Genomic DNA, 12581 nt, shown 5'->3' with positions numbered 1-12581 from the left:
CAAAGCAAATTTTGAAGTCCGAGCACAGAGAAGCAAGAGCTTCTGAATTCTGAGGGCAAACAATTTCTAAGTTGACTTTTCTATCCAGCTAGAACTTCGTGCAGTGTGAAGTTAGAATGAAGATATGTTCAGACATGTGAGTTCTTGAAAAATATCACCTCCCTTGCCCTCTTTCTCGGGCAGCTACTGTAGGATGTGCTCCAACCAAACAAGGGAGAAAACCAAGAGAAAATGGGCACAAGAAACTGGAGCCCTCACACAGGAGAGAATCCTCAGGGTGATGGTGGAGCTGGGTGGCTGGTCCAGCCAGCCCAGATGAGGACAGAGGAGGTGCACAAGGATATACAAGAAGCATATGTGTCTCAGGGAGATCGTAAGTGAGAGCTACATCGTGATATTTTATAGTACATAATGCTGTATAAAATTACAAAATCAAGACATAGAATCCGCATGAGGTTTTAGATACCAAGGAACTAAAAGAGTTCTAAGGTGTCTCGAGGTGAGCAGGGGATTCCTGCTTTATGTTATAAACTTTGTAGGACAGTTACCCTTTTAAAACCTACTATATTTCATGTATAACAATGAATTTTTATGGAAAAATACACATCAAACTGCTGACAAACCCACAGGGCGGGGGGCGGCGGCAGTGAGCCCAGGGCCATAGCAGATGAGTGAGTAAACACCTGCCTGGCAGAGAAAAGACAGCCTGTGGGCTGCCCCACAGTCCCTAGGTCCACACCCGACCTGGGAACACCAGCCTGGGAGTGGCTCGGGCCTCTGCCCGCAGTTCTAAGCTGCAGGTGCGCTACCCACGCCTCTGTAGGACCAAAGCCCTCTCAGACCTGATGCAGATGAGCCCCCACACTCAGCCCCCACCAGAACCCCATGACTGGGCCAGACCCAGTCCCTGCAGCCCCAGGGTGGATTCCAAATGCATTTCCTAGAAGGCATTCATTAAGACGACGTCATCGTGGAAGTGTCAGCTTCAGAGCTGAGGTGGGCTGCAGATCCCTCACGGGAGCCTGCGGCTGCCTTGGAGTCAAGGGTTCTTTGTGGGCTGGTCTGGGAACCAAGAAATCCTTTCTTTATGAAACTGCTTTCTTAGTCCCAAGCAACCAACTTACAAGTTAGCTTTCAGAACTGAGCCTTTCCTGGTAGAAGGTGGAAGGTGTTCTGTGACATCCGTAAAAATCAGGGCATACGGAAGGGACTGGATTTGTCCCAAATACCAGATAACCCAAGTGGTTCCTAGAAGAGGCCGCAAGTGGAGAGCTCATGAACTTTGGACCCTGGTTTCAAATCCCAGATCTGCTACTTAGTGCCTGAAAGTATGGGTGCTTCTCTGTGCCTCTGTTTCTCATCTGTGAAATGGGGATAACACTTCCGTCCCAGGATGACTGGAAATTTAAAACATGAGGGCCCCAGTACAGCTCCCACCACCGTGACCAGTATGTCAACAGCTACCAGCTGTTTCTCCCGTAGAATTCAGTGAGGCACGTGCCTCAGGAGTGGTCAAGATGCCATAAGAACGTGAGAAGGGTGGCAGCCTGGTACCCGGGGCACAGTAAACCTTCATGCTTCTCCCTTTGGGGCTTTGGAATAATGGTGCTTATCCACATTCATTCCTCTGTCGAGCATTAATCGGGCAGATGCTGGTGCAGGTGCAGTGTTCTAGGCCCTGGGTTTGGTAGTGGACAAAACGGACATGGCCCCGTCCTCCTGCTGCATCTGAACCACCCAAGGGACTTGTTAGAACACAGAACACACTAATCCTACCTCGGAGTTTCTGATTCAGAGGTCTGCCGTGGGGCTGACAATGCATATTTCAGTTCCCAGGTGATGCCGAGGTTCCCATTGGAACCAGCTCACCTGTGACTCCTGGGGCTGACATCCCTAAACCCGCACCAGCTGGGGCAAAAGATACACGGACACTGGCAGACGACCGAGGGGCAGGGGATGCGGATCAGGCTGGCAGAGAAAACGCAGCCCTCACAGCCCTGCTGCCGCGTCCCGCCCCCGACAGATGCACGGCTCCGCGCTGTTGCTCAGCCCTGGCGCACAGGCCCAGCGGGTTAGAGGATTTCCACCCCAAACAGCGGGGGCCGGCATCTTTCCCACATGAGAAAACGCCTGCTTTCTGCTGGTACCTGGAGGAAAGGAGCATCTTATCGCGAGACCATGGAGCGGGGTTGGAACGACATGCCTGGCTCAGGTCCCCGCTCACTCCACTGACCTTGTTCTCTTCGCCCAATCACGTTTCCCCACCACCTTCTACCTTCCTCGAGCTGCCGTAAGAAACACTCGCCCAATCATGTTTCCCCATCGAGGTGCCATAAGAAACACTCGCCCAATCACGTTTCCTCATCGAGCTTCCGTAGGAAATATTCGTCTAATCACGTTTCCCCATGGAGCTGCCGTAAGAAACACTCACCCAATCACGTTTCCCCATCGAGGTGCTGTAAGAAACACTCGCCCAATCACGTTTCCCCATGGAGCTGCCGTAAGAAACACTCACCCAATCACGTTTCCCCATCGAGCTGCCGTAAGAAACACTCGCCCAATCATGTTTCCCCATCAAGGTGCCGTAAGAAACACTCGCCCAATCACGTTTCCCCATTGAGGTGCCATAAGAAACACTCGCCCAATCACGTTTCCCCATCGAGCTGCCATAAGAAACACTCACCCAATCACGTTTCCCCATCGAGCTGCCGTAAGAAACACTCGCCCAATCATGTTTCCCCATCGAGGTGCCGTGAGAAACACTCGCCCAATCACGTTTCCTCATCGAGCTGCCGTAGGAAACATTCGTCCAATCACGTTTCCCCATCGAGGTGCCGTAAGAAACACTCACCCAATCACGTTTCCCCATCGAGGTGCCATAAGAAACACTCGCCCAATCACGTTTCCCCATCGAGCTGCCGTAGGAAACATTCGTCCAATAACGTTTCCCCGCCACCTTCTACCTTCCTCCAGCTGCCGTAAGAAACACTCACCCAATCACGTTTCCCCATCGAGCTGCCTGCCGTAAGAAACACTCGGGTTCTGTGGTGCCTTCAGGTGTTCACTTCTTCATGGAGCTTCCGTGTGACGTAACACATGCTAAATACATGCTCAGACTTTTCTCTGGTTAATCTGCCCCCCCCTTTTTTGTATTTTTTTTTTTAACAGGGGGCCCAGCCAATGAGCCTGAGGTGGCTGTAAGGAAAAAGCTCAGTTTCCTCCCCTATGATTGGTTCCCCAGCAGGAAGGAGGCTGAGGCTGGATGGGGAACTGGCCTGCCTGCAGCCTCCACCCCAGGCCACCCTGCCCTGCACTCCGCCCATGGGGGAGAGAAGCCTCCTACATAAGGTGACCAGCTGGAGGGTCCAGCTGTTGGAGGTACTAGGCAGAAGGGGCCCTCGCCAGGGGAGATGGACGGCACACAGACGCACACACACGTGTGCATACACTAGTATGTACAAACACAGAAAGGTTCACCTGTTTACAGAATACGTAGGAGGCCAGGTGCAATGGCTCATGCCTGTAATCCCAGGACTTTGGGAGGCCAAGGCAGGAGTATCACCTGAGCCCAGGAGTTCGAGACCAGCCTGGGCAATATGGAGAGATGCCATCTCCACAAAAATTAAAAAAAAAAAAAAATAGCCAGACGTGGTGGTGCATGCCTGTAGTACCAGCTACACAGGAGGCTGAGAAGGGAGGATCACTTGAGCCCAAGAGTTTGAGGCTGCACTGAGCTGTGACTGTGCCACTGCACTCCAGCCTGATTGACAGAGCAAGACCCTGTCTCAAATATATGTGGAGGACCAGTGCCTTTAAATTGCTCATCCAAGTGCCAGCAAATGCTCTTCTGCACAGGGGAGGGATGAGACCAAAGGAAAACCTGGCACTGGCATTGCCCGGAGTATGTGAGGAGAAGGACCTCGCCAGGCCATGTGTGAAGAGCATTGGCAGAGCCCCTGCCATGGCTAAGTCCTGGTGTCCCCTGCAAAGCAGGGCCTTGATGCTCCAGTTTCCTGTCCCTTTCCTTTCCTCTGCAAACGGTCAGGGCTCTGACCCGCAGCGCCCGGCCCCACCCCGGGGCTGTCTTGTGCAGAAAGCAAAGCAGAGTGTGCCTCTCCTCACCCCACAGTACCGAGGAGAGCAGGCAGGCAGGAGGAGGAGGAGGCAGGAGCTCAGAGATCCTTAGGAGCCCCCGACGAGGTGCCCCCAGTCTCCACCAAGACGGCCGAAGCTCTGAGCCTTTGATGCAGACCTCAGGATGTCTGCAGCTTCTTCAGTGCCAATTACCAGAAAATAATTCAGCGTGCTCACCCCCTGCCTCTCAGCGGCTGCTCTTTGGAGACATTTTAAGTCTGACTGTACCTGCTGAGCAGCTGACAAATGAAGCTTCTCCCTCCCTGCTCCCTCCTTCCCGACTGCCATCGCCTCCACCTTTGCCCAGGCTCTTTCATGGGGAAAAGGGAACCAAAAGCTGGGCCCTGTCATCCCTGCCCCCACAGCAGGGGCCTGCCCAGATCAGTCGCTGCACCTTCTTCCCAGGCTCTGCTTCCAGACGTGGCATGGCAAGGCTGGGTTCCCTAGAGCCCGGCTCCTGAAGGCAGAAGTCAAGGCTTATTCACCTTTGGGTCCCTAGTTAGCTGTCAAGAAATATTGCTGGATCAATGGATGCATGGATGCATGGGTAGATGGAGGGGTAGGGGATGGGTCAGTGGGTGGTGGAGGGGTGAGGATGGTTGGGGGATGGGTGGATGGCAGGTGAGTGAGGAGATGGATGGAGGTCTGGATGAGTGAGGGATGGGTGAGGAGATGGATGGGTGAGTGGGTGGAGGAGTGGGGGATGGGTAGGGCGATAGTTGAGTGGGGAATGGGTGGGGGAAGGATGGGTGGGGGAGGGGTTAACGGATGGCTGGGTGGGGGAAGGGTGAGTGGGGGCATAGGGGGTAGTTGGATGGATGATGATTGGGTGGGGGATGGTGGGGGTGGGTGGGTGGAGGACAGATGGGAGGATGGATGATGGACAGACTGATGGAGCATTGGACAGATGGATGGAGAGACAGGTGCATAGATATTCTGCATGGACCAATGTGCTGAAGGACATCTGAGAGGATGGACAGATGAACAGAGGATGGACCAGTGTCCTGATGGGAAGAAGGATGTGTGGATGGATGGAAACACTCCAGGCCCAGGGCCTGTGTGCTCTGCATCCCTAGGGAGGGGCCAGCAGATCAGGAGCCCCAACCTACACTTCCCAGAAGCTGTGGGTCCTCGGCCAGGAGCACTCAGTTCACAGCAGCCACAGGAATCCTGGGCAGAGCAGCTCTTGAGCCCTGGTCTCTGTGCCTCAGCCTGGTCTGCGTACCTCAGAGGGCCCTTGTGTGGAGCCCTGGTCTGTGTGCCTCAGAGGCCCTCGTGGGGAGCCCTGGTCTGTGTGCCCCAGCCCGCCTCAGTGACCCCCAACAAATTCCCCCCCTATCAAAATCACTATAGCTGTAGTCCCAGCTACTTGGGAGGCTGAGGCAGGAGGATTGCTTGAGCACAGAAGTTGGAGGCTGTAGTGAGCCATGATCTCGCCACTGCACTCAGCCTGGGTAACAAAACAAGACCCTATTCAAAAACAGTAAATAAATGAAAGAAAACCCACTGCCACATTCCTTATGCTAATAAGGCTAGCCAGCCCTTAATGTGTGTGCAGATGAGATCTTACTCAAACTCATTCACACAGAAGTACAGGCATGTGTCACCTAACAACCAGGATACGACAGGGATACTTCCAAGAGATGTGTTGTCAGGCAATTTCATCATTGTGCAGACATCATAGAGAGCACGGACGTAAATCTAAGTGGCAGAACCTACAGCACACCTAGGCTATGTGGGAGAGCCTGGGCTCCTGGGCTACAAACCTGTGCAGCATGTAGCAACTGCGACACCGTGGAATTATGTGTGTAGCTAATCATAGAAAGGGTACAGTAAAAATACGGTATAAAAGATGTTTTAAAATGACACAGGTGTATAGAGCACTTCCCGTGAATGGAGCTTGCGGGACTGGAGTCGCTGTGGGAGAGTCAGTGTGTGGTGAGTGTGAGGGCCCAGGGCATTACTGTCCACTCGTATGTGACTGGCAGTGTAATAGGTGTGTTCACACCAGCATCACCACAAACGAGTGATAACGTGTTGCACTGTGACATTACACGCCGCAACCTCACTAGGCAACGGGAATTTTCAGCTGCTTTGTAGTCTTATGGGACCACCGCTGGATATACAGCCTGTCATTGACAAACTTCGTTATACAATGCATGACTGTATTCTAAAATAAATCACTCAGGCCATAGCACCACTCTCCTCCACTCTGCTGCCTCCAGAGTGTGTAAGTACAGACAGGTCACTTGGCCAGTGCGGGCCTCAGATTCCCTGTGAAACACGAGGCCGAGTCAGACGCACTCCAGGGTCTCTTGGCCCTGAAAGTCTGTGACTTTGTGGCATCTCTGCCCTAGGCTGTGGGGTGAGACCGGGCCAGGTCGCCAGGCTCCTCACACTGCGGGAGGGCCCTTCGTCCAAGCCCAGCGGCTCCTGCAGAACCTGAGAGCTGTGCCAGGCGCACCTGGGAGAGCAAATCAGCCAGACTCTAAAGTGGGGTCCAGAGCCATCTCCCTCTGAAAGAGCTGATGACGTGGTTTGGATCTGTGTCCCCCCCGCGTGTCATGTCGAATTGTAACCCTCAGCGTTGGAGGTGGCGCCTGGTGGGAAGCGACTAGATCACGGGGGCGGTTTTCCCATGACTGGTTGAGCACCGTCCGCCTTGGTGAGTCCTCACGAGCTCGGCCATTTACAAGTGGGTAGCACCTCCCGCCTCACTCTCTTGCTGCTGCGCTGACCGTGTGGCATGCCTGCTCCCCCTTAGCCTTCTGCCATGATTGTAAGTTTCTTGAGGCCTCCTCAGAAGCTGAGCACATGCCAGCATCAAGCTTCCTGTACAGCCTGAGGAACCGTGAGCCCATTACTTTGCTTTTCTTTATCAATTACCCAGCCTTGGGTACTTTATAGCAGTGCAGGAAAGGACTAATACAGCCAGGGATGGTGACCCGCAAGGCCTGGAACCAGACCCCAAATGTGGCCTTCCCCAGCTCTTAGCGCCTTCCAAGTCTAAGCTGACAGCTCGGCATTGTTGCAGGTGGAAACACACCTGGATTTTCTGAACAGCTGGGGAGGGAACAGCTCCTCTTGGAGAGGAATTGTCTTCGTTTAGGAAAAATGCTTTTAAAGGGCACATTTCAACCCGGGGCCAAGGCCACAAAAGAGACGTTAGAAACGAACAAAATTTAGAGGAAAGAGCAGAGGTCAGAGTGAGGGGTTGAGGCAGGAGGTCCCTGAGTGAAGCTCCCTTCCACCCCTGCATCCCCCACACTTTCAGGGGGCGGCCAAAGGAGTTGTGTGTCATGTTCCATTTGATGCTGTTTGCACTACAGTGATCTCAGCGCCCCCATCCCACCCCAAACGTCTGCGGTGTCTCCCACACCCAGGTGCCTTGTGCCTGTGGATTGCACTACGGTGATCTCAGCGCCCCCATCCCACCCCAGACGTCTGCGGTGTCTCCCACACCCAGGTGCCTTGTGCCTGTGGATTGCACTACGGTGATCTCAGCGCCCCCATCCCACCCCAGACGTCTGCGGTGTCTCCCACACCCAGGTGCCTTGTGCCTGTGGATTGCACTACGGTGATCTCAGCGCCCCCATCCCACCCCAGACGTCTGCGGTGTCTCCCACACCCAGGTGCCTTGTGCCTGTGGATTGCACTACGGTGATCTCAGCGCCCCCATCCCACCCCAGACGTCTGCGGTGTCTCTGACACCCAGATGCTTTGTGCCTGTGGATTGCACTACGGTGATCTCAGCGCCCCCATCCCACCCCAAACGTCTGCGGTGTCTCTGACACCCAGATGCTTTGTGCCTGTGGATCTGGGGGGAATGGGGGCTGAATGTCACATCTGAGTCTCTGTGGTTCAGAAACGTGTGCAAGCACACGTACCGACCTCAACACCGAATTAACTCAGCCAAAGCAGGCCTCAGAGCCACAGGTGATATTACAGAAACCTTAGCAAGGGCTTCGGCCTTCCCCAGGACACAGACATGACCTGGCACTTTTAGTGCAATGAGGAGCGGGAGACCACAGGCAGAGTGAGCAACCATCCAGGTTTTCCAGGACCAACGGGTTTCACAAGATGCGGGACTTTCAGGGCTAAAACCAGGAAAGTTCCCAGCAAACTGGGGAGAGTTGATCCCTGTAAACAGCCACCACCTGGGTCAGATGGACCCCAGCTGGAGGCCAGACTGGGTCTTTACACACTTGCCCTGAGTTAGCGCTCACATTAAAGGAATAATGGGGGGTGGACACCATTCCCTCCACTTCACAGAGGAGGAAACTGAGGCTGAGAGAAGTCCGTCAACTTGCACAGGACCACACTGCCAGCGAGTGACAGAGCGAGGATTTGAGCCCAAGGCCCGTGCTCTTAAGCTGTGTGTTGTCACGTGGTATCCGGAGGATCCTCGACTTGTCAAAAACTGAAATCAACACCCTCAACAGCCTTACTCTGTGCCCCGGTCCAGGGCCTGGCCCAGGAGTCCCCTTGCTTTCTGTAGCCCTCTCTGCATTCCTACCAATGCCTTTGCCTGCCTAGGACCACCCCCTGCCTGTAGGTCGCAGTAGCCCTCTGCCACCCTTCCCACGTATCAGCCTGGCAGAGCCCTGTGGAATTTCATCACACAAGCCCCTCTGGATTCAGAAGAATCACAAATGCTGCCTGGTTGCTGTTCTCAGCCCCCTCCCCACTGTGTCCCTGTCCCAAACACCCCCTGACCCTCCGCCAAGCCTGCAGGCAGCACCTCCCTCGTCTGCTCCTCCCTCAGGAAACAGCATTTCCCGCCCAGCCTGGGGATTTCCAAGCTGGAAATTCAAACAGCTCAGCACGGAATAGGCTCCAACAGGGTCAGGTAATGGAAATTACAAGATGGTAAATTATTCCAGGGAAAGGGCAATTTTCCTCATATGCTGCCTGACTCTGAGAACACTGTGATCATGGTGGAAATTGGAGGGTCAGAGCTGGTGTCTAGGGAAAGAGAAAGGAAGGCACTGTGCCCGCCGCTGTCAGTGAAGCCCCAGGTGTGAGAGAGGGTGTGAGGTCAATCCCAGGCTGGGCCCACAGCCAGGCACGTCCTCGCTAGAGGCCCAGGACCTGCCACCAGCCACAGCTGAAGAGGCTGGGGCGTCAAGGCAGAAAGCCAACATCCCGGAGTCATACAAGTGCACGTTCTCTTCCCAGCTCTGGCACATACCAGCTGTGTGACCTTAGGTAAGTAACTTGACCTCTCTGAGCCTCCTGGACACAGCAGTAGTGAGGGCTACATGAAATAACGTGGGGCACATGGTCAGAATGGTGCAGCAGTAAATGGCAGCTGCCCACTCCCGTGATCAGAGGGCTCTGGGTGCGAGCTGCAGCAGGGCATGGTGGAAACTGCCATGAGATGCAGGACCCTCCAATTATCTAGGGGGCCAGGCCCATCTCAGAGGAGCAGCTCCAGAGGTGAGCGCACACCACTGCTAATTCTGCAGAGGGTCCGGTCTGACTCCTACCTCCCACCCAGCCAAGGCTCTCACCTGTGTACCCTCTCCTGTCTCTGAGGCTTCCAGGTGATGGAAGTTTATCCTTTCCCTTGCCTGTTTGTGTTTTGTTGTGGTTTTATGATTGCTTTTTAGCCCGTTTTATGGAAATCTTTCTAAGATGTACTAGGAACACCTCCTTTTTCCAGATCAACGTAGAAGTGTCTTGTAAACTTCGATGACTCGGTGCTGTGGAAGTAAGGAGACCTCTTTGTCCCCACACTGCCTGACCGCGGCGTGTTGGAGCTGCCTCCTTCTCCAGCCCCAGACAGCCCTCCCAGCTTCCTCTTGAATCTGCAGCCGGTTACCCCTGGGGAGACCAAGCCTTGCTGGTGGAGGGGAGATAAACAAGCTCACCAAATCATTATTCTTAATTTGCAGGAAGGCCAAAGCTCCCTCTGAGCCGAGCTCTAAAGACATTTTTTACTGTTTAGAAGCCTTTGATTCCTTTACTTCCCAGCAACTGGCTGAGTTCCCAGGGCTGAAGTTGCCTTGAAGTTTGACTGCTGAATAAGAAAAAGAGTTTTCCTCTGTTTTGTTGTTAATCCAGAGTTTGAGCTGGGAGCATAAAGATTTCAAACATACCAAATAGGATTTCTTCAACTAGATTGTTTTGGAAAATACAAATATGAGATCTGAGAAGGACAGATACAAAAGAAAAAGAAGTCTCAGTTCCAGGCTAAGGTGGACGGAAAGGGGGTGCCCTAAGGAGGCTCGAACCTGAGACAGTCTGAACCAGAAAAACCTCCCCTAGAGTTTGGGGGCTGGCGTGCAGCTGCTCACATTTTTATCTTGCTAAATTAAGAATATAAAATAAGAACCACTGGATAAGATCACCCTTATTTTAGAAAAGAGAGGGGAAAAGTCAACCAAAAAAGCTGTTTTTTTTTTAAATTAAAGGGATTTAACTTTATGAAAAACTTCCTACATTGCCCTGTGCTTTTCTTATTTTGTCATGGGTGAGTAAAGCTGTCAGCTTCTCGGCTTCTGTAAACCACCAGGGTAGGACCAAGACTTGGAGGCTGGATACTAGAATGCCTGGGTTCCAAGCTCGGGATCCTGCTGTGGACACCTGGGTTCCAAGCTTGGGATCCTGCTGTGGATGTCTGGGTTCCAGGGTCGGGATCCTGCTGTGAACACCTGGGTTCCAAGCTCGGGATCCTGCTGTGAACACCTGGGTTCCAAGCTCGGGATCCTGCTGTGAACACCTGGGTTCCAAACTCGGGATCCTGCTGTGGACGCCTGGGTTCCAGGGTCGGGATCCTGCTGTGAACGCCTGGGTTCCAAACTCGGGATCCTGCTGTGGACGCCTGGGTTCCAGGGTCGGGATCCTGCTGTGGAGGCCTGGGTTCCAGAGTCGGGACCCCTTTGTGAACACCTGGGTTCCAAGCTCGGGATCCTGCTGTGTTGCGTGAGCGGGGGTCGAGTGTTCTCTGTGCTGGGTTGTGCAGTCCAAGTTGTGCAGACATACAGCCTGGGTGTGAATCTGGAGTCCATCTCTAGCCACGGGGCCCTGCAGAAGGCTGCTGTGCCTCAGTTTCCCCATCTGTAAAATGGCAGTAGACCTGCTCGTGGACCTGTGGTGAGTCCCGCTGTCTGGCTGTCGTGTCTGCTCACTGGCTGCTGCTTGTGGTTGCTTGTTAGGTGTGGTTCCTACAGGCCCTTGCAGGTCTGTGTAGACTCAGAGGAGTCGCGGGGCAGAAAGGAGCTTTGGGGATGGAAGCACCAGACCAGTGAAAAGAGAAGCAGCGGATTCGACGTGGCCACACGGGGCCAGGAAGTCCCCAGAGATCATGCCTAGCTCCGTCTTCCAGGTCCTGAAACTTTATCTAAGGACCTCAGCAAGCACTTGGTAGCATAAAGAGAGGGTGGTGGGGCATGGGGCCCTCCTGGCTGAGAGTGCCTTTCGGAGAAGGGGTCTGCCCCTGATGGAGCATTTCTCAGATCTGGACCCTGACAGATGGGCCACCAGGGGACCCTGGAAGACTGAACTCCTGTCTCCCACTACACACACATGTACACACACACACGCATGAGCACACATACACACTGACATTCTCCTCACCCTGAGTAACACAGGATCTGTGAACACCAATTCTAGTCATTTCAGTGTGTGTACAGCTGTGTGAGTGTGTGTACAGCTGTGTGTGTACAGCTGTGTGTGTGTACAGCTGTGTGTGTGTACACCTGTGCCTGTGTGGGTGTGCACCTGTATGTGCCTGTGTGGGTGTGCCTTTTAGGGTGTGTACACCTGTGTGGGTGTGCATCTGGAATGGTGTGTGAACGCACATGTGGTCTCAGGTACACATATGCATGTGTGTGCACACATGTGTACAGCCTACACACACACAACTGTGCACACACTCAACTGACTAGAGTTGGTGTTCAGAGATCCTGTGTTGCACATGTATATATGTAAGTATCTGTGGATATAGGCTGAGCATAAAAGAATTTAAAAGTTTGTTCTGGTCAGGCACGGTGTCTCATGCCTGTAATCCCAGCTCTTTGGGAGGCTGGGATGGTGGATCACTTCAGGTCAGGAGTTTGAGACCAGCCTGGCCAACATGGAGAAACCCTATCTCTGCTAAAAATACAATTAGCTGGGTGTGGTGGCAGGTGCCTGTAGTCCCAGCTACTTGGGAGGCTGAGGGAGGAGAATCACTTGAATCCAGGAGGCAGAGGTTGCGGTGAGCCAAGATCTCACCACTGCACTCCAGCATGGTGACAGAGCCAGACTCCATTTCAAAAAAAAAATAAAAATAAAAGCTTTTTCTGGCATCTCTCTCTCCCCCTTTCCACCCATCCTCCTCTTTTCTCTCTTTTATTCCTTTACTGTAATGAAAAAAAGGAAAGGCAGCCAAGGAGACCAGAGACCAGCAAAGGGCCAGCGAGCTTGAAGTCACGTAGACGTAGATTCAAACCCCAGCTCTG

At 53.4% G+C, this 12581-nt stretch overlaps 1 long non-coding RNA gene across 1 annotated transcript; it reads left to right on the top strand.

The window, feature by feature from the left end:
* The first annotated feature begins 9036 nt into the window (after positions 1-9036).
* On the top strand, positions 9037-10570 carry LOC124903889 (uncharacterized). Its single transcript, XR_007065569.1, has 2 exons — positions 9037-9342; positions 9800-10570. It is a non-coding gene; the product is annotated as an uncharacterized LOC124903889 (long non-coding RNA).
* Positions 10571-12581: the final 2011 nt, after the last annotated feature.

Source organism: Homo sapiens, chromosome 17, assembly GCF_000001405.40.
Source record: "Homo sapiens chromosome 17, GRCh38.p14 Primary Assembly".
In the NCBI taxonomy this organism is placed as follows: domain Eukaryota; kingdom Metazoa; phylum Chordata; class Mammalia; order Primates; family Hominidae; genus Homo; species Homo sapiens.
This window is presented reverse-complemented; position numbering and strand designations above follow the sequence as displayed.